The sequence below is a fragment of the Homo sapiens genome, chromosome 10, assembly GCF_000001405.40.
Source record: "Homo sapiens chromosome 10, GRCh38.p14 Primary Assembly".
Classification (NCBI taxonomy): domain Eukaryota; kingdom Metazoa; phylum Chordata; class Mammalia; order Primates; family Hominidae; genus Homo; species Homo sapiens.
Genome location: NC_000010.11, coordinates 89,178,550 through 89,204,499, shown reverse-complemented (window position 1 = coordinate 89,204,499; position 25,950 = coordinate 89,178,550). Strand labels below are relative to the sequence as shown.

The window sequence follows — 25,950 nt, the reverse complement described above, 5'->3', positions numbered from 1 at the left end:
TTTTAATGCCTTGGGAGGTAGAACCGCGGAAGTGGAAAGGATGAGCAATTTTTCAGATAGCTTGAGAACCTGTTAATAAAAATAGTAAAGAAAAAGTTCATATGCGCATGCGCTGTCACACAATTTCTCACTTGCTCCTTACAACAACACCATAGGGATGTAGAATAGTTACTATTATCATCATCACCTCTGTTATGGATAGAGGATTGGTACCCACACAGGTTAAGTACTTTTTTCCAGATTACAAAATAGGAGGAGTGGGAGCCAGTTCTACTAAACTTAGGTCTGGTGGTGTATACTGTGCTTCTCTTCTGATAACTGCCAGAGAGCTGCAAACCCTGCAACACCAACAAATGGCCTCCCTCTGTTGTTCCTCCTTTGTTACTACCCCTAAAACAGTGTTACCCTGGCCCACTACTTCACTTCCACATGGCTGCCAAAGCCTCTGCCTGGGTAGGGGAGAAAGCCAGGGGAGGTAGAGCAAGGCCAGTCTAAGCAAGCCCTGGGAGAGCAGGAGGCAGGTCAAGGACTGTTTTCTGCATCCTTCATTGCACCTGTGCTACAAACGCAACTATTGCAGCCAGATTACCTGGGTGGGAATCTGGGTTCTGGGACTTACTAGCTGAGTGGCTTTGGATAAGGTACTTAACCTCTCTGCCTTAGCTTCCTTATCTGTTGATCATAGACTGTTCCTTGCTGAGTTGTTGTGAGGGATTTTTGAGTTACTAGACGCAAAGTGCTAGATGAATCCGAAATCCTGGCTGTAGTCGTGTTTGCTGTGACTGATGCTTCCCAGTGTGAGTGCTAGGACTGCAGTTCAGAATGGTCAAAGCTTTTTGTTCACAAACATGCTTGTGCTCGCTCATATTCCGGGGAATCAAATAAAGCCAAGTTGTTGGTTCTGCTTCCATCACAAGCTACTTCTCCCACCATCCTTTCAAGGCAAAAGTTTTATAAAGAGAAAGAAGTCTATGTTTGTTTGATTCTACTTCTTTACCTCTGAGTCATTCTACTCCCATTCCTCTGGAAACTTTTGCTCTGGGTTGCCTACTAATTTCCTAATTCTCAAATCCAGTGACTTTTCCCTGCTTGGTGTTCCATTTCCTTGGCTTTCTTTTCTTCTTCTTCTTTTTTTTTTTTAGAGGAATTTTATTTACAAACCAGCTCATCTTGGAATGTGGTTCTTGCTTTGCTTTAGTGAGGTTTCTCTCAACTCCTTTCCATCCTCATTCTCCAGCTGTTCCTTCTCTCTTCAATGGCTCTTCTTTCACCACAATAGGGAGGCAAGCCTCAAGGTGCTCCTCATTTTACTAAAAAATACCTGTATTGTTTATAATTAATATCCTCCCTACCATCTCCTAATGTAGTCTATAAATGTCCTACTGCATTGCATTCTAGTAAATAAGCACAATGTGTATACGCATGTATATTCACATACACCATGTATATGTGCATATGCATGTAACATGTAGACACGCTATATATGTACACACTATACACACAAACTCTATGACTACATGCTATTATATGTACACATAGATGTATTTAAACACTATATACATATGCTGTATATATGCACACATATATAAGCACACTGTATAGTATATATGTGTACACATTATATGTACACACACTATATATGTAAACATGTACAAACCTGCTATATTTGTACTAGATGTGTATACACACACTATGCCTCCTCTTCTCTCTCTCTTCACATACATAAACATAAACACACAACTATTTTTTTCCTATCTACCATTTATTTCTGCCTGTAGTACTATGCCTAGTTCTTAATAAACATTGGTTCAGTGTTGCATGAATCCTGGAAGAACTAGAAACACACCTTAGCCATTAATCATGCATTTCTCAAACATTCCTTCTTGTTCTTCTCCATCTTCCATCACTAGTCAGTTCCAGATTTCTAACTCAGGCCATGATCACCACTCATAAATCTCTGTTCTAGAGGAAGTCACACTCTACTGGGAAAGAGAGTCAGGCAAGCAAATGCATTTAATCTAATGTGGCCAGTGCTGTAATGGAGGATGTTAACAGGTTGTTAAGGGAGTTCAAAAAGAGATGGGACATTTGAGCTAAATCATGAAGGATTTGTGTCTTCACTAAGCAGGGTACAGGGCATACCTGGCAGAAGAAACAGCAGTTGCAAAATTAGAGAGAGATCAAAGAACTTGACATTCCTGAAACATGGCAGGAAGCTCTGAGCACTGAATAAGCAAGGAAGAAATGTGTCCGACACTCAAGGTATTCAAGGTACATGTCTAACAAGGCAGTTACAGCCTGGAATTGGGTCCCAGCAACAAACATTTGCTGTCTTGCCTCTTCACAAGCTATTGAAACTTTTTAGAACTGTTGACTCACCTGCTTATGTCCCAGGGTTTTTGAGAGATTGTATGTAAAATTGCTTTGAAACAAATGTTAGAGCTTCTTGTTATTTGTCGATTTATAATGAATAGACGGATAAATGCATTGAAACCTGGACTTGGGCTATTGAGGGAGTGGGGAGGGTGGTCCACAGATTTCAAGCAAGGGAGTGACATTAGATCTGGTTCAAGAAGGTAACTGGCAGCAGTGAACAGTGACAGTGATTCCAGTTAGGCGACCGTGGCAAGTTCTGCCTGGATTCCAATCCTGGCTCCACTGCTTATAAACTCTGTGACCCTGAACAAGTTACATACTGTCTCTTGCTGAGTGAGTATCAAGAAGGCAGTTATGGGACACTACTTAGAAATTGCTGCTATCAATATTCTTTGCTAATCATTTGCCTAAACCCAACATAAATAGCTCCGCCGACTTGTAGCAACTTGAGTGAAGTGTTTATTTCAAATTTTGCTAAGATCCACCCTGCCACATACTTTTGTGGGTTCATAGTGTGAACATTTTTTTTTATTTCTGCGAACTCTGAAAAGCTTTGTTTAAAAAATGTTTAAAAAAGCATTCACACAACGGACTATGACTCAGCAATAAACAGAAAAAGATGATTAATACATGCAGCAATAAGGTTGTGTCCTAATTATGCTGAGTAAAAGAAGCCAGACAAAAAAGATTATTTACCATATAGTTCAATATAGTTCAATCCTATAAAACTCCAGAAAATGCAAATGAATTCATGGGGACAGAAAGTAGATCAGTAGTTTGATGAAGGGAGGGGCAGCAAACATAAATTACCAAACGGGTATGAGAAAACATTTAGTAATGAGGGATATGTTCACTATCTTGATTGTGGGGATGGTTTCACAGGTGTATACAAATACCAACAATTATCAAATCGTATACTTTAAATATGTGTAGTATATAGTACGTCAATTAGACCAAATGTTGATGGTGATGATAAATTAATCTAGGACCTCATGTTCTGAGTTTTAGCTTTGAAGTCAATTTACCATGAAAACACACACACACACACACACACACACACACACACATACACACACCAGTCTATAATCCATCCTTTGCTCATCCATTCTCCTGACCTACCAGAGAAAGCCTCTGGTAGGAAGGCATGTCTGGGAGCCTGCAAAACCCATACCCCTTTCTTTAAGAACTTCCTCAACTCCCACTATGTACACACACAAACACAGATTGGGTCCCTGTATCTATTGTTATACTATATGATCCCTACATCATGGCCACAGCTTTCTGTACCAAAGTTGGAAATCTGATCCACCTGGGAAGAATTAGGCTATTTTCCAGGAATTTAGGATATGTAAACCAGCAGATCCAGGTGACCATTTTGGGGCTGCCATTCGTACTGTGTGAATAATGATGCCAAGAAAGCCCATCTGTACATAGAATGAAAGGAGGATGAGCAGATTTTCAGGGAGTGGGAAATGAGAGACACATACCCCTAGAAGGAGTGGAAAGGGCAATGGCAGTTCTGGGAGCAGACCACTGACCTGGTTTCTGGAAGCTCTATAGGCCCAGGTTCTCGACCCTAAACCTGCTACACTTTTTGCCTTTGGGTTCCATGACTTTCTAATAGATTCCTCTTCTTGGGCTGGTTAAATACCTTTCTGGTTCTTGTATGTAAAGAGGACATTGGTTAAAACCTGAGGGTTCTGTGGTGTCCTTTTGCATTTAGGTTGTAGGAGGAAGCCCCTTAGCACAAACCTCTATAGGAGGTTTTTTGTGGTTGTCATCAGTGGACAATGAATAGCCACATCCTAATTGACAGCCAGAGGCTGTGGTGCCCCACAGGCCAGGAAGGCAAACTGACTATGTGTGGTTGTTAGGGGCCAATGTGGAGAACAAAATGAGCATTCTGACATTATTTAGTACCAGCCAACCCCATCTTGACCTCCTATTACCCAAGGTGAGCAAGTGCTGTTTTATAGCAATTCAAATACAGACTTTATTCCAAATGTTTGCTAAAGACATCTCAAGTCTCATAAAAAAGACTTTGAACCAAAGCCTAATTGGAAGCCCAAACTTTATCTCAATCCCATCCTTCCCATGGAGGGTATATCCTTATTTCCTAACAGACCTCTTATGGGTAATGGGTCCTATAGTGCCACATTGTGTTCTCCATGGGTTTGAGGTCCCGGCGGATGCTAGCAGCTTTCTAATACACACCTTGACTTCCTCTGTTGGGCTAACTTTCCATTTGTCACATCTTGACACCTCTTGGTATTTTTCCTGTCTCAGTGTTTGTTTCCAGCTGTGTCTCTTTTCTGCCTTGTTCTTTTGTTTTGTTCTTGGCTGACATTTATCAAATGCTTACTAGGTACGAGATTCTCTCAACTCATTTTACATCCAGTAACTCATTTAATTCCTAACAGCAACCCATGAATGACACAGAGACATTCAGAAACTCATCTCATATCTTTTAGCTAGTAAGTGGCAGAACCATGGTACACACCAGGCACACCCTTTTGGAACCTGCCCTTATCAGTTGTCATCACTGGACTCTGCCATCCCCTCAGGAGCTCAGTTTTTCTTTGTCACATCTTCTTCTCATGATCTCATAGAAAAATGAATCAAAGTTTGCTTAGAAGAGTTTTGTCTTTGAGAACTTGTTCCATTTTCTGCAAGGAAAAGGTGAGTTGCTACAAGCACAGATTATATTTTCATAACAAGAAGCTAGACTGTGAATCAACCCATTCAAAGGGATATGACCATAGGCAGCTTTTCCCATATAACCCACTACTAGACTTGCTCACGGGGATGGTATGAGATTGGATAGAAGGACTAGTATTCATCGATGAAAGAAAAAAGTGGACCATAAATGAAAAAAGTTTGCAAAAAAAAAATTTGTATACAGTGCAGGTATAACATACATTATTCTGGTCAGATGGGGAGGAGACCTCCTGAAGGGCAATGAAGAGGGACGAGAAAGGGACTGCAGAGGTGGGTTTCAGACCTGGTAGCTGTGCAGCCAGCCAGCTGTGCATCTAGCCAGGAGCTGTGGTCTGGTTGTCCAAGGTTGGGACTTTTTTCTGGTTTGACCCTCCTAGTGGGCTGCTCTGGTTGAGGGCTTTGACCGTGTTACCAGCACAGAGCCCAGCACATCAGGCCATTCAAAACTACTCTATGTTGCCTCCCTGGCCTAATGCTCAGCACTTCAATTCAACCAACACCTTAATGAGCACCTACAGTGTGATAATAAATAATCATGGTAACAGTGACAAGAATAATGATAATAATGGCTATTATAGAACAATTACTGACTATAGCTCATAGGTATTGTGCTAAATGCTTTGCACATATGATTCCTTTTCATCCTTAAAACAACCTTCTTTTCTTTTCTTTTTTTTTTTTTTTTTTTTTTTTTTTTTGAGATGGAGTCTTACTCCGTCAACCAGGCTGGAGTGCAGTGTCGCGATCTTGGCTCACTGCAACCTCTGCCTTCTGGGTTCAAGCAATTCTCCTGCCTAGCCTCCCAAGTAGCTGGGATTACAGACATGGACCACCATGCCCTACTAATTTCTGTATTTTTAGTAAAGATGGGGTTTCACCATGTTGGCCAGGTTGGTCTTGAACTCCTGATCTCAGGTGATCTGCCTGCCTTGGCCTCCCAAAGTGCTGGGATTACAGGCGTGAGCCACTGCGCCCGGCCAAAACAATCCTATTTTCAAAGCCAACAATCTGCTTGGTTAAGTAATACCTTTATTAACTCACCTCAAAGATCCACCCCAGATGATAAACAAATACATAAACAAATTAATTTCAGATTATGTTAATGCTATGAAAAACAGTGAACTGATTTGATATGATGGAGAGGATCTGAGAGGTGGGGAGGCTTCCTGCAGAAGGGGGATAAGGGAAGGCCTCTTTGAGAAAGTGATGTTTAAGAGGAGACCTGAATGACAAGAGGGAGCCAGCCAGGTGAAGTAGGTTGTGTGTTCATTCCTATTTCTCAGACAAGAAGGAAAGTTTAAAGTAATTGCCTAAGATCAAATAGCTCTATGGTAAAAGCCAGAGCTGGGGCCCAGGGTGGTCCTATCATTTTGCTCCAGTCTCTTCCAATGTGTTCACTCAGCATGTCATGCCCTCTTTCAGCTGCCATTGCTTCACCTGTCCAAGGGTTCTTCCTTGTTTCCGGCTATTGCCATTCAAATTCCTTTCCTGTTATCCATTTCTCTCTTACCTCTGATTTTCCAGGTTCAAGCTCATTAGCCAGTTGTTAAGGCAGGTTTTATCCTTAGATAAAGATTATCTTCTAAAGCGGTATCCGGCCTCCGTAGTAACTGTGGCCTAGGGTTGTACATGCCTTGTGCAGAGGCACTGTGTCTGTAGGATGCCCTTGGGGCTGAAGAGCTTCCATTCCATCCCAGATCCCAGCCTGCAGAATAAAGATAACTAAACTCTGACAGGTTGGGATATGGAATGGAATGGACGTATGCAAATAAATTATGTATGCAAATAATGACATTCTACCTCTTCCTTTTCTGTCTAGATGCCTTTTTTTTTTTTTTTTTTCCTTTTTCTAGCTTTCTTGCTCTGGCTAGAAGGCTATAACCTCCAGTAAAAATGGACTAGAAGTAATATAAGAGAGGATATCCTTGCCTTGTTCTTAATCTTAGAGAAAAAACACTCATTGTTTCACTGTTATGTCTGAAATTATCTCTAAATGTTTTGTACATGACCTCCATCAGATTGAAGAATTCCCTTTTATTCCTAGCTTTCTGAGAGTTTTAAATAAAAAATGGATATAATGTTAAAAATGAAATTTTCTTATTATCCTCGTAGTATCTGTAGAATGTATATTTATCTCACATACCCATACCTAACATAGATAAGTTGTGTCTTTTTTCCCTCATCACTTTAAATAGAGGTTTATCAATTTTACTGGTCTTCTGAAAGAATGTGCTTTTGCTTTCATTTGTTTTTTATATTGTTTTCTTTTTATATTTCACTTATTTCTATTTTCATCTATATTAATTCTTGTAGTCAGCTTACTTTGATTTGAATTTGCTCTTCTTTCTGTAGGTTCCTAAAACATGAACTGGGTTGATGTATGGAGAAGAACTGGAGGTGAGGGAGAGTTCCTGCCCAAAGGGTATAAGGGAAGGCCTCTTCCAGGAAGTGCTATTTAAGAGGAGAAAGTTGATGTCATTGCTTTAATATTTTCTTTTCTAATGATATAGATATTTTGACACTATAAAGTTCCCTACAAGCACTGCTTTGGCTGTAACCTAAAAATTTTGTTATGTTGTGTTTTCATTTTAATATAATTCAAAATAATTTCCGATTTCACTTTTGATTTATTTTTTTGTCCCATAACCATGTCAAGTATGTTATTTAGTTTCAAACATTTGGAGAGCTTCCAAATATCTCTCTGTTACTGATTTCTAATTTAATTCCATTTTGTTCAGAGACCATAGTTTGTATGTTTTTTAAAAAAATTGAGATAAAATTTACATAACATAAAATTCACCATTTAAATTACTTTAAAGTGCCCAACTCAGTAGATGTCAGTATATTCACAAAGTTGTCTGTCACCACTATCAAATTCCAGAGGATTTTCATCACTCCCACCCAAAAATCCATACTCCTTACCAGTTACTCCTCATTCACTGCTCCTGCTAGTTTCTAGTAGGGAACATTAATCTTTCTATCTCTATGGCTTTATTTATTCTGCCATTTTATTAAAAATAGTATAATTTAAATATTATAGCTATTTTGATGGGACAATAGTATCTCACTGTGATTTTGATTTGCATTTTCTAATGACTAATGATGTTGAGCATCTATTTATGTTTTTTTTTTTTTGAGACGGAGTCTGTCTCTGTCGCCCAGACTGGAGTGCAGTGGTGCGATTTTGGCTCACTGCAACCTCCGCCTCACAGGTTCAAGTGAGTCTCATGCCTCAGCCTCCCAAGTATTGGGATTACAGGTGCCCGAAACCATGCTTGGCTAATTTTTGTATTTTTAGTAAAGACAGGGTTTCACCAGGTTGGCCAGCCTGATATCAAACTCCTGACCTCAGATGATCCACCTGCCTAGGCCTTCCAAAGTGCTGAGATTACAGGCATGAACCATTGCACCCGGCCTATTTATGTTCTTACTGATAAAATAGTGTGGAACTTCAAATATAATGTTGAATAGAAGTGATGAGATTAGACCTCCTTGTCTCATTATTAGGGAGAGCACTTACAGTCTTTCACCATGAAGTGTGATGTTATCTGTGGGGTTTTTATGCTCCTTATCATGGTCCCTCTGTTCCTAATTTGTTGTGTGTTTTTGACAAGAAAGGGTGTTTGATTTTTGTCAAATGCTTTCTCTGTATATATTGAGATGATCGTGTAGGATTTTCCCCCTTTATTCTATTAATTTAATCTGATTGACGTTGAAGCACACTGGAATAAATCCACTTTGTTATGATGCATAATCATCCTTTTAATATGCTGCTGGATTTGGTTACTTAGCATTTTGTTGTGTATGTTTACATCTATGCTTATAAGGGATTTTGACTTGCAGTTTTCTTTTCTGTATTGACTTTGGCATCAGGGTAATTATGCTGCCTTTCTAGATTGAGTTAGAACATGTTCTCTCCTCATCTATGTTTTGGAATAGTTTGAGAAGGTTTGGTGTTAATTATTCTCTGAATGTTTGATAGAATTCACAAGTGAAGCAATTCGAACCTGCACTTTTCTTTATTGGAATATTTTGATTACTAACTCATTATCTTTACTTGTTAAAGTTTTATTCAGATTTTCTATTTCTTCCTGAGTTAGTTTTGGTAGTTTGTATGATTCTAGAAATTTGTTCATTTCATCTAGGTCATCTAATTTGTTGTCATAAAATTGTTCATTGTATTCTCTTATAATCATTTTTATTTCTGTAAAGTTGGCTGTAATATCTTCATTTTTATTTCTTATTTTACTTATTTTAGTCTTCTCTTTTTTATTGATCAACATAGCTCAAGATTTTTCAATTTCATTAATATTTTCAAAGAATCATCTTTTGGCTTCATCAGTTTCCTTTTTTTGTTCTTTTTTAATTCTCTATTTCATTTATCTCTATTCTAATTTTTATTACTTCTTGTCTTCTGCTGGCTTTGGGTTTTGTTTGCTCCTCTTTTTCCTGTTCTTGAAGGTGTAAAGTTCTTGATTTGAAGTCTTTCTCCTTTTATTTTTGATTTTTTTATTTTTGGAGATGGAGTCTTGTTCTGTCACCCAGGCTGGAGTACAGTGGCATGATCTTGGCTCACTGCAACCTCCACCTCCTGGGTTCAAGCAATTCTCCTGCCTCAGCCTCCCAAGTAGCTGGGACTACAGGTGCACACTGCCATGCCCGGCTATTCTTTCTCCTTTTAAAATGTAGAAACTTACAGGTATAATTTTCCCTATGAGCACTCTTGCTGCGTATGATAACTTTGGCATGTCATGCTTCCATTTTTTTTCATCTCAAATAATTTTCTGGTTCCCATGTGGTTTCTTCTTTGACCTATTGGTAATTAACAAACATTATTTAATTTGCACATATTTGTGAATTTTTAAATTTTTTTGTTATTGGTTTCTAATTTAATTCTTTTGTGGGCAGAAAATATATTTCACATAACTTTAATCTTTGGAAGGTAAAGGGAGGGAAAAAGACATTCTATATGAATGGACACCAAAAGCAAACAGGAGTAGCTATTCTTATATCAGACATAACAAACTTTAAAGCAACAGCAGTTAAAAAAGACAAAGAGAGACATTATATAATGACAGAAGGCCTTGTCCAACACGAAAATATCACAATCCTAAATTCCTAAATGTATATGCACCTAACACTGGAGTTCCCAAATTTATAAAACAGTTACTACTAGACCTAAGAAATGAGACAGACAGCAACCTAATAATAGCGGGGGGCTTTAATACTCTACTGAGAGCACTAGACAGGTCATCAATACAAAAAGTCAACAAAGAAACAATGGATTTAAACTACACCCTGAAACAAATGGACTTAACAGATATTTACAGAACATTCTACCCAACAACTGAAGAATATACATTCTATTCTTCAGTGCATAGAACTTTCTCCAAGATAGACCATATGATAGGCCACAAAACAAGTCTCAATAAATTTAAGAAAATTGAAATTACATCAAATACTCTCTCAGACCACAGTGGAATAAAACTGAAAATCAACTCCAAAAGGAACCTCCAAAACCATGCTAATACATGGAAATTAAATAACCTGTTCCTGAATGATCATTGGGTCAACAATGAAATCAAGATGGAAATTAAAAAATTCTTCCAACTGAACAATAATAGTGACAAAACCTATCAAAACCTCTGGGATACAGCAAAGCAGTGCTAAGACGAATGTTCATAGCCTTAAATGCCTACATCAAAAAGTCTGAAAGGGCACAAATAGACAATCTAAGGTCACACCACAAGGAACTAGAGAAACAAGAACAAAACAAACTGAAACCCAGCAGAAGAAAGGAAATAACCAACATCAGAACAGAACTAAATGAAACTGAAGCAAACAAAAAAATACAAAAGATAAATGAAACAAAAAGCTGGTTCTTTGAAAAGATAAATAAAATTGATATACCATTAGCAAGATTAACCAAGAAAAGAAGAGAGAAGATCCAAATAAGCTCAATTAGAAATGAAATGGGAGATATTACAATTGACACCACAGAAATACAAAAGATCATTTAAGGCTACTACGAACAACTTTATGCACATAAACTAAAAAACTTAGAGGTGATGGATAAATTCTTGGAAAGATACAATCCTCCTAGCTTAAATCAGGAAGAGTTAGAAACCCTGAACATACCAACAACTCGCAGCGAGATTGAAATGGTAATAAAAAAATTACCAACAAAAAAATTCAGGACCAGATAGATTCACAGCTAAATTCTACCAGACATTCAAAGATGAATCGTTACCAATCCTATTGACACTATTCCACAAGATAAAGAAAGAGGGAATTCTCCCTAAATTATTCTATGAAGCCAGTATCACCCTAATACCAAAACCAGGAAAGGACATAACAAAAAAAGAAAACTACAGACCAATATCCCTGATGAACAAACATGCAAAAATTCTTAACAAAATACTAGCTAACTGAATCCAACAGCATATCAAAAAGATAATCCACCATGATCAAGTGGGTTTCATACCAGAGATGCAGGGATGGTTTAACGTACACAAGTCAATCATTGTGATATACCACATAAAAAGAATTAAAAACAAAAATCACATGATCATCTTAATGGATGCAGAAAAAGCATTAGACAAAATCTAGCATCACTTTATGTATCAGTCAGGGTTCTCTAGAGGGACACAACTAATATATATATTAGTTTATATATAAACTCCCCTTTATATATATATATATGCACACAATAATATATATATGTACACTACATATATATAATATACCCCTTTATGTATATATACACAAACTAATATATATATTAGTTTATATATATTAGTTTATATATAAACTCCCCTTTATATATATATACACACATATATACATACACACATATATATGTACTTTATATACACATATATAAAAATAAATAAAATGGATAGACCATTAGCAAGATTAACCAAGAAAAGAAGAGAGAAGATCCAAATAAGCTCAATTAGAAATGAAACAGGAGACATTACAAGATATTACAATGGGAGAAAGATGTAGGCTGAGAGGCTAAGCCAGTCTCGTCTTTTCACGTTCTTCTGCCTGCTTTTTATTCTGGCTGTGCTGGCAGATGATTAGATTTCGACCACCCAGATTAAGGGTGAATCTGCTTTTCCCAGCCCACTGACTCAAATGTTAATCTCCTGTGGCAACACCCTCAAAGACACACCCAGGATCAATACTTTGCATCCTTCAATCCAATCAAGTTGACACTCAGTATTAACCATCACAGTTTATGACTAAAATCCTCAGCAATATCAGCATACAAGGGACATCCCTCAATGTAATAAATGCCATCTATGACAAACCAACAGCCAACATAATACTGAATGGGAAAAAGTTAAAATCATTCCTTCTGAGAACTGGAACAAGACAAGGATGCCCACTGTCACCACTTCTATTCAACATCACGCTGGAAGTCCTAGCCAGAGCAATCAGACAAGAGAAAGAAATCAGGGGTATCCAAATCAGTAAAGAGGAAGTCAAACTGTAGCTGTTTGCTGATTATATGATCGTACACCTAGAAAACCCTGAAGACTCCTCCAAAAAGCTCCTTGAACTAATAAATTCAGTAAAGTTTCAGGATACAAAATTAATATACAAATCAGTACAAATCAGTAGCTCTGCTATACACCAACAGCAATCAAGCTGAGAATCAAATCAAGAACTCAACCCCTTTTACAATAGCTACAAAAAAATAAAGTACTTAGAAATATACCTAACCAAGGAGGTGGAAGACCTCTGCAAGGAAAACTACAAAACACTGCTTAAAGAAATCATAGATGACACAAACAAATGGAAACACATCCCATACTCATGGATGGGTAGAATCGATATTGCGAAAATGATCATGCTGCCAAAAGCAAGCTACAAATTCAAGGCAATTCCCACCAAAATACCACTACCATTCTTCACAGAACTAGAAAAAACAATCCTAAAATTCATATGGAAGCAATAAAGATCTCTCGTAGCCAAAGTAAGATTTAGCAAAAAGAACAAATCTGGAGGCATCATATTACCCAACTTCAAATTACACTATAAGGCCATAGTCACCAAATACCATAGTGCTGGCATAAAAATGGGCACATAGGTGAATGGAACAAAATAGAGAACCCAGAAATAGACCCAGATATTACAGCCAACAAATCTTCGACAAAGCAAGCAAAAACATAAAGTGGGGAAAGGACACCCTATTCAACAAATAGTGCTGAGATAATTGGCCAGCCACATGTAGGGAATGAAACTGGATCCTCATCTCTCATCTTAAAAAAAAATCAACTCAAGATGGATCAAGGACTTAAATCTGAGGCCTGAAACTATAAACATTCTAGAAGATAACATGGAAAAACCGTTTTAGATATTGGCTTAGGCAAAGATTTCATGACGAAGAACCCAAAAACAAATGCAATAAAAACAAAGATAAATAGGTGCAACTTAATTAAACTGAAGAGCTTCTGCATGGCCAAAGGAATAGTCATCAGAGTCAATAGACAACCCAAAAAGTGGGAGAAAATATTCATAATCTATACATCTGACAAAGGACTAATACCCAGAATCTACAAGGAGTTCAAACTAATTAGCAAGATAAAAACAAACAATCCCATCAAAAAGTGGGCTAAGGGCATAAATAGATAATTCTCAAAAGAAGATATACAAATGGCCAACAAACATATGAAAACATGCTCAACATCAGGAATGATGAGGGAAAAGCAAGTCAAAACCATAATGCAATACCACCTTACTCCTGCAAAGATAGCCATAATCAAAAAATAAAAAAATAATAGATGCTGGCGTGGATAAGGTGAAAAGGGAACACTTCTACATTGTTGGTGGTAATGTAGACTAGTACAACAAAGAACTAAAAGTAGAACTACCATTTGTTTCAGCAACCCCACTACTGGGTATCTGCCCAGAGGACAAGAAGTCATACAGAAAAGATACTTGCACACGCAAGTTTATAGCAGCACAATTCGTAATTGCAAAAATGTGGAACAAACCCAAATGCCCATCAATCAATTAGTGGATAAAGAAACTGTGGTATATACATATATGATGGAACATTACTCTGCCAGAAAAAGGAATGAGTTAATGACATTCACAGCAACTTGGATGGAATTGGAGACTATTATTCTAAGTGAAGTAACTCAGGAATGGAAAACCCAACATTGCATGTTCTCACTCATAAGTGGGTGCTAAGCTATGAGGATGCAGAGGCATAAGAATGATACAATGGACTTTGGGGACTCTGGAGGTGGGGGGGAAAGGGTGGGAAGGGGGTGAGGGATAAAAGACTACAAATTGGGTTCAGTGTATACTGTTCAGGTGATAGGTGCACCAAAATCTCATAAATCACCACTAAATAACTTAGTCATGTAACCAAATACCACCTTTTCCTCAAAAAACATATGGAAATAATTTTTTAAAAGGTAAAAAGTCTTGTATTTCCCTGCTGATCTTCCATCTAATTATTCTGTCCATTATTTAAAGTGGGGTTTTGAAGTTATTGTTAAACTGTTTCTCCCTTCAATTCTGTCAGTTTTTGCTTCACACGTTTTGGGGATCTGTGCTAGGTGCATATGTGTGTTGAATAGCTATATCTTCTTGAAGAATTGAATCTTTTATCATAATCCAATCATTTTTGTCTCTTATAAAAATATTTGTCTTTTTTTTTTTGAGACAGCTTCTCCTAAGCTTTTCCTTTCAAGTCTTTCCTCCCAAGGTTTCGGTTAGTTAATTGCTTGCCCAATTGCTATCTATTGCCCAAGCAGCAGCACTGGGTGAATCCAAATTAGGTTAGATAAAGGCAGGCTTTTTGGGCTTATCCTCCAAGCAGACACCAAACTGGTCATAACAAATGACCAAAGTTCTTTGGGAACAAAGTGCATTCTGCTCCTGCCATTACCAGTACCTGTAATAGGAATGCAGAATGTTATCTTTAAGGCAACTGTTGAGATGGGAAATGGGGCATGAAGCCAGGGTAAATTAAAAGGACAAAAAGTTATCTGTTCTTATTGAGAGTCAGCCAATTTTTATTCATTAAGCATTTTCCTGGTTCTTGCAAGCTTTTGTTTAGTTTCCAAAGTTCCAATAAAAGTTGATTCTGATAGTTTTTGATAGTTTTTCCGTTACCTTTAAGAAGGGATAATTTTTTGAGTTTCTTACCCTCCATTTCAACTCCTACTTTGTATGTTTTGAATAATTTAAAATTTCTGAAGGCTGTTTGTGGTTGAGAATATGATCTATCTTGGAAAATGTTTCACGTGTGCCTGTATGAGTCAGCTTGGGCTGCTATAACAAAATACTATAGATTGGCTGGCTTAAACAATAGATATTTATTTCTCATAGTTCTGGAGGCTATGAGGTGCTGGCCAATTCAGTTTCTGGTGAGGGTCCCCTTCCTGGCTTGCAGACAACCACCTTCTCACATGATGCTGAGAGGGCAAGCGATGGTCACTCTTCCTCTTCTTAGAAGAACACAAATTCCATCATGGGAGCCCCACTCTCATGACCTCATCTAAACTTAATTGTCTCCCAAAGGCTCCACCTCCAAATACTATCACATTGGGGGTTAGAGCTTCAATACTTAGGGCTCCAAAATAATTTTTTTTTTTGTTTTTGGAGTGGAAACAAACATTCAATCTATAACAATACTTGCAAAGAATATGTATTCTCTTCTTGGATGAAGTATTCTGTAGTTGTTTAGTACATCAAGTTGATTGAAGTGTATTCCATGTTTCTTATATCCGTATTTTCTTTCTACTTGTTCTCTCAATTATTGAAAGTGGGTTTTGGAAATCTCCGATTATAATTGTAGATGTGTCTGTTTCTTCTTTTAGTTTTATCAATTTTTGCTTCATTTATTTTGAACTCTGTGAGGTATATTTTTACATGAGGTATACAAAAACTTAGGATCATAATGCACTCCTGATTTACCAAGCAACTACTGTGTGACAACCATTCTTCTACTTGCTTTTTTACATGTAAACTCCTTCACTGTTAAAAGCTTATTCAGTAAATGCCATCTTATTTTTAAAGAGGAGAAAAAAATGGAGGCACAAAGTGGTGAAGAACCTCACACAAAGTTTTATATAGCAGAATAAAAACCCAAACATGAGGCTGCAGTGCTCTCAATTTTAACTAGTATGTTATTTTAGGTGTGGAGGGGGGATTTGAACTTAGAGTAAGGTCACACAGAGGAATATGATTAAATTGCAAGCTCCCTTGGAAACTGAGCCTTTGTCGTAGCAGTTGTTGAACTGGTTCAAATCATAGCATATCAAGTATATCTATTATTAGACGAAAGCACAAAACATATTTTCTTGCAAAACAAAAGTAATTTAGCTTGGAGGCATCATTTAAATTTCACATGTTTCTGTTTCCATCTTGGTAGTCATGTGTGGTCTTAGAGCTGATTTCTCTTTTCCTATCCCTGGATTATACAAAAGCAGTCCCAAGGTGGCTGATGAGAAGAAAGGATATATCTTAAAAAGATTTTAGTTAGTCCTGTAAAAGCCATTGCCAAGGAAGCTCAGTAGTCAACCCCAGTTGGCCAATAGAGCTTTATTCAAATGCCTTCTGCAACCTCCTCTGTTTCTTGCTAAATCATTTAGAGATAGAACACTGGACTTCTAATGAAAAGAAGGGATTTGAGTTTTAGCTTTTTCACCTACTAACTTTGTGACTATGAAAAAGTGACATAACTAATCTGCACCATCAAACTACTATAGTACCTACTAAAAAGGTTATTTTGAGGGTAATACATAAAGCACCATTTAAATATGGGGTATTTTCCTTATTCTTATTTTTCTTCTTTTAAATAAAGGATGCCTGCCTCCTCCAGTATCTGCTTGGCAGCCTGCAAGTCATTACAAATAAATATTATTTAATAAGTTCCTTCCATTTATCAGGCACTTTTGTCTACACCATCTCATTTAGCCCTCATTAACCCAGCAACCTTATAGAATCTTTTTCACAATTGCCAAAGGAGGAAATTGAGGTTCAGAGAGATTACATGACTTACCCATAACTACCCAGAGTGTATGTGGAAAACCAGGGTACAAATTCAGTTTGTAAGTAAAGCGTTTTTTCCCCACCCATCACCTCCTCTCTCCTCTCTCCAATAATATGCTCTCTAAGTCAGCCATGTACAGCCATGCAGGTTGTACACTGAACAACTCCAGGGAGTGTCATTTTTGTAGGCGGTAATGTGAATGGCACCCCCTAGAGATGTGGAGTGCTCAACTTGCAGAGCTATATGAGGAGGCCCTGGATCCTGTAATGTGTTTTGTTCAGAGTCAAGAAGATTTTACTGATAACCATATCCTCACCTCAGCCTTCTTTCAATCATTCTGGAGTTGCTTTCAATGCTTTTATAAATCTGAGTAAATGACCTAAAGGAATCTGTCTGATCACACCACCTCTCACCATGTGGTGGGACTTTCTCAATGTCATGGTAATTCATATGCCTGCATTTGTTCTATTAGTTGAGTATTTGCTTTCCACATGCTTCTACCTGCCTGCCAGCTTCCAAAAATTACCGTGAAAGAAATTGGCTGGATTTGGCAGGAAGAGGCCAAAACAGGCAAAAAGTGAACTACTGCCTTTGAGTTTGTCTTGACAAATTGCCTTAATGCACTTGTGAGTGTTTAAACCATTTAAAGACTTAGAGGCAGTGTTCAAAGAAAGAAGCCCTTTCATGTCTTATTTTCCAGAAAATGCAGATTAGCACCACTCTGTGCTTTTGGCTGTGAGATATGACTTCATCCATATATGGGAGGAAGTAAAATTAAGAGATAAATTAGAGAACATGAATACTTTTCATTTAGGCTTATTTCTTTCTTCGCTAGGACAGCTCCCTAAATGCTGTGGTATAGAGGCCCTTCCTACCAGCTAGGTTTTAATAAAGGTGTTTGTACTCAAGGGAGTGCAAGCAGTAGAAACACTTTTGGTGCAACTGAGAAGGTCTAGGGCCTGGGTTGGGCCCAGTTAATGATTTGATTTAGTTACCTCAGTTTTATAGAATGCTTTCCAGTCAGGAATGTTTATATATATTATAACCTTGTGAGTTTGGATTGATAGACAATTTTTCATCTAGCAAACAAGTCATCTGGAGCCTGAAGCTGAAAATGTCAAACAAGATGTCCAAGTTCACAAAACATTTTCACTTTCAATTCAGGATCCCCATAGCAACTTCTGTATCCATTTGGAGGTCATGGAGATTTAAATCCTTTGCTTTCTCTAGTCCTAAACCCAAAGATGGATAACATTTAAAACCTCTCCAAATTATTATAGTGTTTCTAGACTAATTATAGTTGAGTGACCATTCCAGTAGAGTAAATTCATAACAATGTAAGCAGCCTTATCCAGAAACAGCCCTTTCTATATTAACAGCCCTTTATCTCAACTGCAAGTGCCAACATAAACAGTAAGTGGGAGGAACTTCAATCATTGTCTATTAAGAATTGCTTCAACAAGGACTACCTCAAGACCAAGCAGATATTCACACCCCAATGTAAACATGGGGTGTTTACATTGTTACCCTGGGATATAAATAGAAATGTGATAGGAGCCTAATGTAAACTTTACATTGCACTCCTGTAAACTTTACATTGGCCTTCTATTGACCTATGGAGTTATAGGTGGCTAGAGTGAAGACAGCCCAGCCTATTGGTTGTCATGCAGCCAGATTATGATGCTATTTTCATCCACTGGGATTTGGAAATAACCATCCTCTCCAGGAAACCTGTGTTTACAACCCCGAATGGTCTCCTTTCCTACTCCTATCTTAAAATGTGGTCTCCCAGGAAGCACGGGTCTTCTGTGTCTAAATGTGTATGTTGATAGAAGCATACATATTTATACATGATTCACTGATGCCAAAGAGTCTCTTGTTCTTTTTCAACATCTAGGTTCCTGTGAACAATTGAACGAACTTGAAGCTAGGCTCTTGATGTGAAAGGCAAACATTATTTTGGAAAATGGAATTTGGTGTTGATTCACAGTTCAACACAGAGTTAAGCAAAGAGATTGGCCTAGACCAAGAAAAATTGGAGCAGGTTGGAAGGAGAGGGATAATTCAGGACATCAGAAAATTAACATTGGTAGCTTCAAATATCACCTGTGTGGCTTGACACGGTCCCAAAAACTTCTTCTTCCAAGTAATATAATAGGGCAGTCTTTTCCCTGAAAGTTAAGATTTCTATTGCTTCCAGCTCACTTGAGGGCAAATACCTTTATAAAGCTTAGCTGGTGGGGAAAGAGGTTTTGCACGTAAGCACCAATTTGAGGCATATTTTCTCTGATTTGCCAGAAACACTGAAAGAAGTCAAGAAGGGGAGAGTTGAATATAGAGTTGGAAACTTTGTTGGAGATAAATATTTGGAAATGTGTCAATTCTACACTGTTGTTTTATAAACTTTTTATCTTGTCTTAGCTGAAATCTTGTGTGGAAATGTAATAAAAATAAATATAGAAAAACGGAGCTGTTATGGTTGAAGGGGAAGTAGTTGTACAGAGCCAACTTGACCTGCCACCCACACATCCCCAGGGGAACATTGAGGCACCTCAGAACTCTAAGAAACACAGTGTAAAACCAGTGAACTAGGAGATTTCTAGAATTTCTTTGTTTGGAATAGGGTGTTTGTTCTCCAGCCATTGCTGGGGGGCACCAGGAAGAAAGGATTCGATTCTAAACTCTTTGATGTGAAGCATCCAATTTCATTAATCTCCATGCTGTTGTTGACAAGCACGAGATCCAGGTCTTGCCAGGGGCTGATTAATAGTTGTCGAATAAATGAATTCATCTTTAAAGCTATGTATTTGAGTGACCAAAGGTATCTAGAACCAAGGGAACACAGGAAAGTGAGTATATTAAGAAGAAAGAATGTGGGTTTGATGTTGCCTTGATGTCCTCATGATTTCCTTCCTACTTGATCCTAACGAAGAATGAAACACATGACATAAATGCACCTTCCAGCTCAACACAACTTTACATTGACAAATTATCAGGTCTAGTTCCTATGGTGCCCTAGAAGTCAGGCTTAAAGAATCCATCACACTATGATTCTCCAATTTTAGAATGCATAAGAATCACTAGGAGAAACTGCAAAAACAAAAACAAAACCAAAACAGCACACACACAGTAACATTCATGGTCTATAATTCCAGAGATTCTGATGTAGTGGGTCTGAGGTAAGGACAAAGAGTTCTTATGTAAATGGTTCACGGGCCACAATTCAAGAAACCTTGACTGCACTCAATGAAACATGCAGGAGATGAAAAGTAACTGCTTGTTCTTTGAGGTGACAACTGTATTTCCAGATTGTGTGAATTCTCAGCAAACCAAAAACCCCAACATTAATCGTGAAGGCAGCCCTAGAAGTATCCCCATTCCCCAAGAGTTTCTCAGAATGGTAGCTTCCACCTTGCAGGTTCCCAGCTCACATGATGTGGTAGGGCTTGCAAGGATGGAGTCCTGGGAAGATGACTCCAATTGTAGCTGAAGCCTAGAGTTGACACATTTCTTTCCAAAGCTTGGAACAGCCTCCAAAAATATCAGGTAGTAGTCAGAATGAAGCCAAAATAATGTGGAAAGAGTATCAGAGCAATTTTCTCTGTAACCACATTCTTACAGAGAAAGCCATTCTTACAGAGAGTATATTCAAATCCATGAGTAGGACAGAATGGCAAAATGAAATTCCTTTGTGATTACAGTATTTTCTGGTTTCTAAATATTATGACTGTAAAGGCATACATGGTAAAAAACAACCTACATTTGTATACAGTGTGTTAACAAAGGACTATTTAAATCAGTCTACAAAGAAGCCTTGAGAAGGGAGGTAAAGGCAGATTTGACTTTAGATTATCAAGTATATTTTTAAACAAAGAAATCTCATTTTAAATGATTTTGGTTTTATAGTCAGTTCCAATGTCAAAAAGTTTTTTAATACTTTGGAAAATGGTTAAAATACTATATAGCAGACAAAATCCTCTGAAGGTACTTTCAAGAGAAAGAGAGAGAGAGAGATCTCTCCCAGAATATTCTGAGCAACAGTGGCATCAGTATACGAGGTGTAAATTAGTCCCTTGAATTAGTCTTTGAAATGGATCAGTTATGGTATGCTTGTTTGAACAAAATAGGGAATAATCAGCTTGTTAGCCAAAATATTTGTAGATTATTGCTGAAGTCTACCATCTCATCTATCCCTCAATACTGTCAGTTTGTACTCAGAGATAGCTGCATGTGAAACTGGCACATAGGTTGTAGCAGGTTGCAGCAGTACTCTTCGCAGGCAGTGGGGGTGTGAGTGTGTGCACACTCTGATGAGGCCTGAGTGATTTTTGCCCTTTTGGAAATGCTGACTAGACTGTCATCCTGCAGCTGAGTATGAGCCTCCTGATATGATGAAAAGCAACTAACGAATAGGCTGATAGATCCATGGGAACTGGAAAATGGCAGGGAAGAGTCACAGGACAAGTTCTTTCTAAACAATTCTTGGTGTTTGTATGAAATTTGGCGTTTACCGACACCTGTCTTCCAATTCTTATAATAAATATGCTACAGATGAACAGCACATTGAACAAATCATTACGTTAAGGAGTCACTAGGAAATCAATAATTTTTCTCATCAAAGAATTGCATTATGTACTTTGCCCATTAAAATTACATTCAAATGCTTACAACATTTGTAGATACTTAAAAAAAGTAGAGAGTTGTAATATAGTCTAAAAAATATACACCAAAATTTTAAAAGAGGTAGTCTCTGGATAATAAAGTTATAATGGTTTCTTTATATGTTCTTTCCTTATATTTTCAATTTTTCAAAAAACACAAGCATATATTACTTATATATTAAAGGAAATATAAATGTTGCATAAAAACAATTTAATAATAACTGCTAATAATTGTCAACTTTATCTGCATCAAGCTCTGTGCTCAGTACTCTACACATTGTCTATTTTTAACCCCCTCCAAAGACCCTTTGAGAGTAGAACTTGGTCTGTCCACAAGGTTAATTGTCCTTAACCAATTAAGGAACAGGTTTATCTAGGTTCAGTGACTTACCTAAGTTTGAATATGTGAAATATATGGCAAAGCTGAGATTTAAAATGTGAGACAAAGCAGCAAACCTATGTTTGCTCACTTCTGCTCTCCAGCATAATTTCACACAGCCCCTGACTCTATGAGCAGCTCTATGGAAGAATGCTCTGAAGACAAAGCAGGATAGAGCACCTGGCCCCTCATGTCTCTTTCCCAAGTCACTACATCCTTAAAAGATATATAATCCTAGTCCTTGCCTTTTCCTACTCATAAGATAATGTCTGACAGAGTTAGTGACTATGCCTCTGTAATCTATAACCAGATGTACTCTTGCACCTAAACTTTAGGTGATTCTGCTTTAATGTAACTTCTGAACAAATTTGATGTAACTTCTGAACACATACTGAACTTCCACTACCTTTGTGTAAGCTGTGAGCTGGAATACTGTGTCAGAGCCGTCTGACAGAACCTCTCTGATGGGCGCTTCCAGGGCTGTAGTTCTCAACTGATAGCCCTCAAGGCTTCTGAAAACAAGCTTTAATGAATAAACACATTAATTAATTAATTAATTAATTAATAAAACATATGTTAATTTTTTAAAACATTGCTATTTTCTTTAGTCAACAGAATTCAGGTTTCTTGTGACCCTAGGGCTTTTGTCCTTGATTCTATTAATAGAATCAGAACACTTCTTCAACTCTTATTGTTGTCAAATCCTAATACCCTTTATGGGATATCTCTAAAATATCTCTCCAACATGGCAAATTCTGAATTATTTCAAGCATCAGATATTTCCTTCACATTTTACCATCTTACTCCTCTTTTTTTAAACCTAGAATATCAGGAAATTAATCTTTTGAGCAAATGACAAGAAAAATGATTCTCAGGTTCATTCTCATTTGTCAGGACTTTTTAGATAGCCTAAGAGCCTGGCTGAGAATTAATGAATGTCAGAAAATTAGGTATTTTCACAAATTTTTTATTTTGATTTTTCTTGTGAATTACGTCTCCCTTTCTAAAAGGACAGAACTCACATACTTTTGATTGAATAACAGTTCTTTGGACAAGTTCTGTTTAATGGAAGACTTATTATGTTCCCTATGGGAGAGAAGTCAATGAGATATTTATACACAAAGGTGATATTAAAAATATCTAACATCAAACACAGCACAGGTACTAAGCAATCAGAATGGTGGTCTTCCGCATTTTAGAGGCCGCTCCTAGACCTTCAGCTGATAGACAATGGAGAGTTCTAGGAGGGTGCGTGGCTAGAGGCAGAGGACAGGGCAGCCAAGGCAATGGGAAGACACTCATCGTGGGTAGGACTAGTAGTTACTTACTAAGGAGTGTGGAAGTACATTTGATTCTTGTTATTCATAATGGTATGTTCTATAAAGTTGCTATAAGCACTGAATTAGTAAATCCTGAACCATTGCTCCTAGGGGAAATATAGGGTTGGGTTCCTGAGAGCTTCTGATCACAAGATTTTTTGTCAACTGACCAATAGATAACCTTGTTTTATGTGTGTTTCTGTTTAAAACCACCTTATTTAAGACATATTATTGATTCATTAACATTAAACATGGCCAATAGCACTATAACTCATGTCTGAAGTAAGCTTTTCTAATACATGTATTTTCTCCATAAGGCACAGCATAGCCTCCTTTTATTTAGGATCACTAGAAAGCACTTTGGCATTATGCTTGGGGCGATTTTAAACAGCAAAATCACCAACAAAAACACAAAAGTGTGAAAAACGTGGCACTAAATAGACCATAGCAAGGACATGTGTTTACAGAAAGAGAGCTAATGCAAGAAGATAGAACATTGCCTTGTTTGACCTCAGCTGGGAATGTGCCCAATGGGTGACTCAAATATTTTGCTGCTCTGAGCATGTCCACAAATGACAATGAAAGTGCCATGATTATTGATTTTTGAGGTTACATATACATTTTAGCAAGTAGGAATCTGTGAAGAATGAGGATGACTGATTTCAATATTTTAAAATCCAATAAAGCCATACTTGTGTACGGAGCTAAAGATCAGCAATGGCATAGGATTCCATGGCCTTGGACAGCTTAGCTGTGCTCTGTGAAGCTGACCTTCTCCCTCGGACCTTAGACCACCATCTATGCCTCCAGTCTGGCAAATTACTCCTTCCTTTTCCCCATTTAAACTCATCTTAAAAGCCTGTCAAAAATTAAACTTCCTCCATAAGGTCACCCTTGATAATTTTATATTAACCCCCTAACTCCCATCATAAATACCACTCTAATGATATCTTGCTTCTCAGCAATGGAACTCCTTCTTCTACACCTACTCAAGGGTTACAGTAGAGTTAATTTTTGGGGACTGTGGCCTCTCATTTCATGTCTCCCTTACCCCCACCAAAATGCTCCCTTCTTCCACAGAGTTCAGTAAAATAAATTTTTAGGCAGCCATAAAATGCAAAAGCTTTTATGGGCTGCTGGGTTAAAACTTACATTCATAGATTAAAGCTTCATTGAGTTCATTTAGCCTAAAACTTTAACCCATAAATCTCTTTCTTTTCTTTTTCTTTCTTGCTTTCTTTCTTTTTTTTTTTGAGATGGAGTTTCCCTCTTGTTGCCCAGGCTGGAGTGCAATGGTGCAATCTCAGCTCACTGCAACCTCCACCTCCTGGGTTCAAGTGATTATCCTGCCTCAGCCTCCCAAGTAGCTGGGATTACAGGCATGAGCCGCCATGCCCGGCTAATTTTGGATTTTTAATAGAGACGGGGTTTCTCTATGTTGGTCAGGCTGGTCTCGAACTCTCAACCTCAGGTGATCCGCCTGCCTCGGTATCCCAAAGTGCTGGGATTACAGGCGTAAGCCACCACACCCGGTCCCATAAATCTCTTTCTTAACAGATCTAATTGAATTCTACTGCAGACTTCACAGTTCCTTAAGCTCTGAATTTTGATTTGGGTGCTTACATTGACATCTCTAATCCAGTTCAAAACCACTTTTCTCTCCAACTTGGCTGTAAACCTCATTGTGGGGGAAGGACCATGTGTGCCATGTTTACCATGGAATCTCCAGTGACCTGTACAAAATAAATGAATATAGTCACTTAAACTTCAGTGTACAGATTCTATTCTCAGGTTGTTCTGAACCTGGTTAAGCAAATCTGAGTCTGCCTTCCTTGACACAAAGTGGTTACTTGTCACACATTCTGAGTCTTCTCAACACAACCCGCTTTGAGATTTTTATTACTCCCTGCCCGCCCCTTGTCATAGCACTTAATACACAATGTTTTGTGTTATTGTGATTTGTGTTCACTTAGCATCTCCTCTTCAGCACTATTAACACCTCAAAGGCAGGAATTGTGTTTCAGTGGCCTTCCACTCTCACGATAGTCCTCAATGCCTAGCATGTATGTAGGTATATTTTCACTAATTTATTAATTCATTCACCAAATGCGCACCTACCATGGGCCAGACACTGTTCTAAACACTAGAATATAGTTGTGAGTTAAAAAACATTCCAGCCTTCCTAGAACTTACATCATAGTGGGGGAGACAGGCAATAACCAAGATGAATGTGTACATTTCACACTATGTTACAGACTACCTAGTGCTAAGGGGAGTAAATAGCAAGGGAGGAGTAGAGGAGAGTTTGGCCAAGGTGGTGGGGTTGTCATGCAATTTCATGTAAGGAGCGAGGGAGGGAAAGCTTCCCCAAGGAGGTAACATTTAAATAATACCTAAAGGAAATGAGGGAAACATGAAATTAACAGGAGGGAATCCTAGGTAGAGGGATCCCAAGGGTAATAGTTTCTGAGGTGAACA

At 37.9% G+C, this 25,950-nt stretch overlaps 1 long non-coding RNA gene across 1 annotated transcript, besides 1 other annotated feature; it reads right to left on the bottom strand.

The window, feature by feature from the left end:
* On the bottom strand, positions 1-25,218 carry LOC105378418 (uncharacterized). The gene is made up of 4 exons (XR_946180.4): positions 25,096-25,218; positions 22,560-22,676; positions 9,792-9,906; positions 1-69 (listed from the first exon to the last, which is right to left on the bottom strand). It is a non-coding gene; the product is annotated as an uncharacterized LOC105378418 (long non-coding RNA).
* Positions 2,673-2,842: an enhancer, noted in NCBI's record as "experimental_17965 CRE fragment used in MPRA reporter constructs". NCBI's record gives its function as "activates a minimal promoter by MPRAs in K562 erythroleukemia cells, with activity observed for the introgressed 10:90961500 variant allele {active_cell/tissue: K562}" and the evidence as "EXISTENCE:reporter gene assay evidence [ECO:0000049][PMID:34662402]".
* Positions 25,219-25,950: the final 732 nt, after the last annotated feature.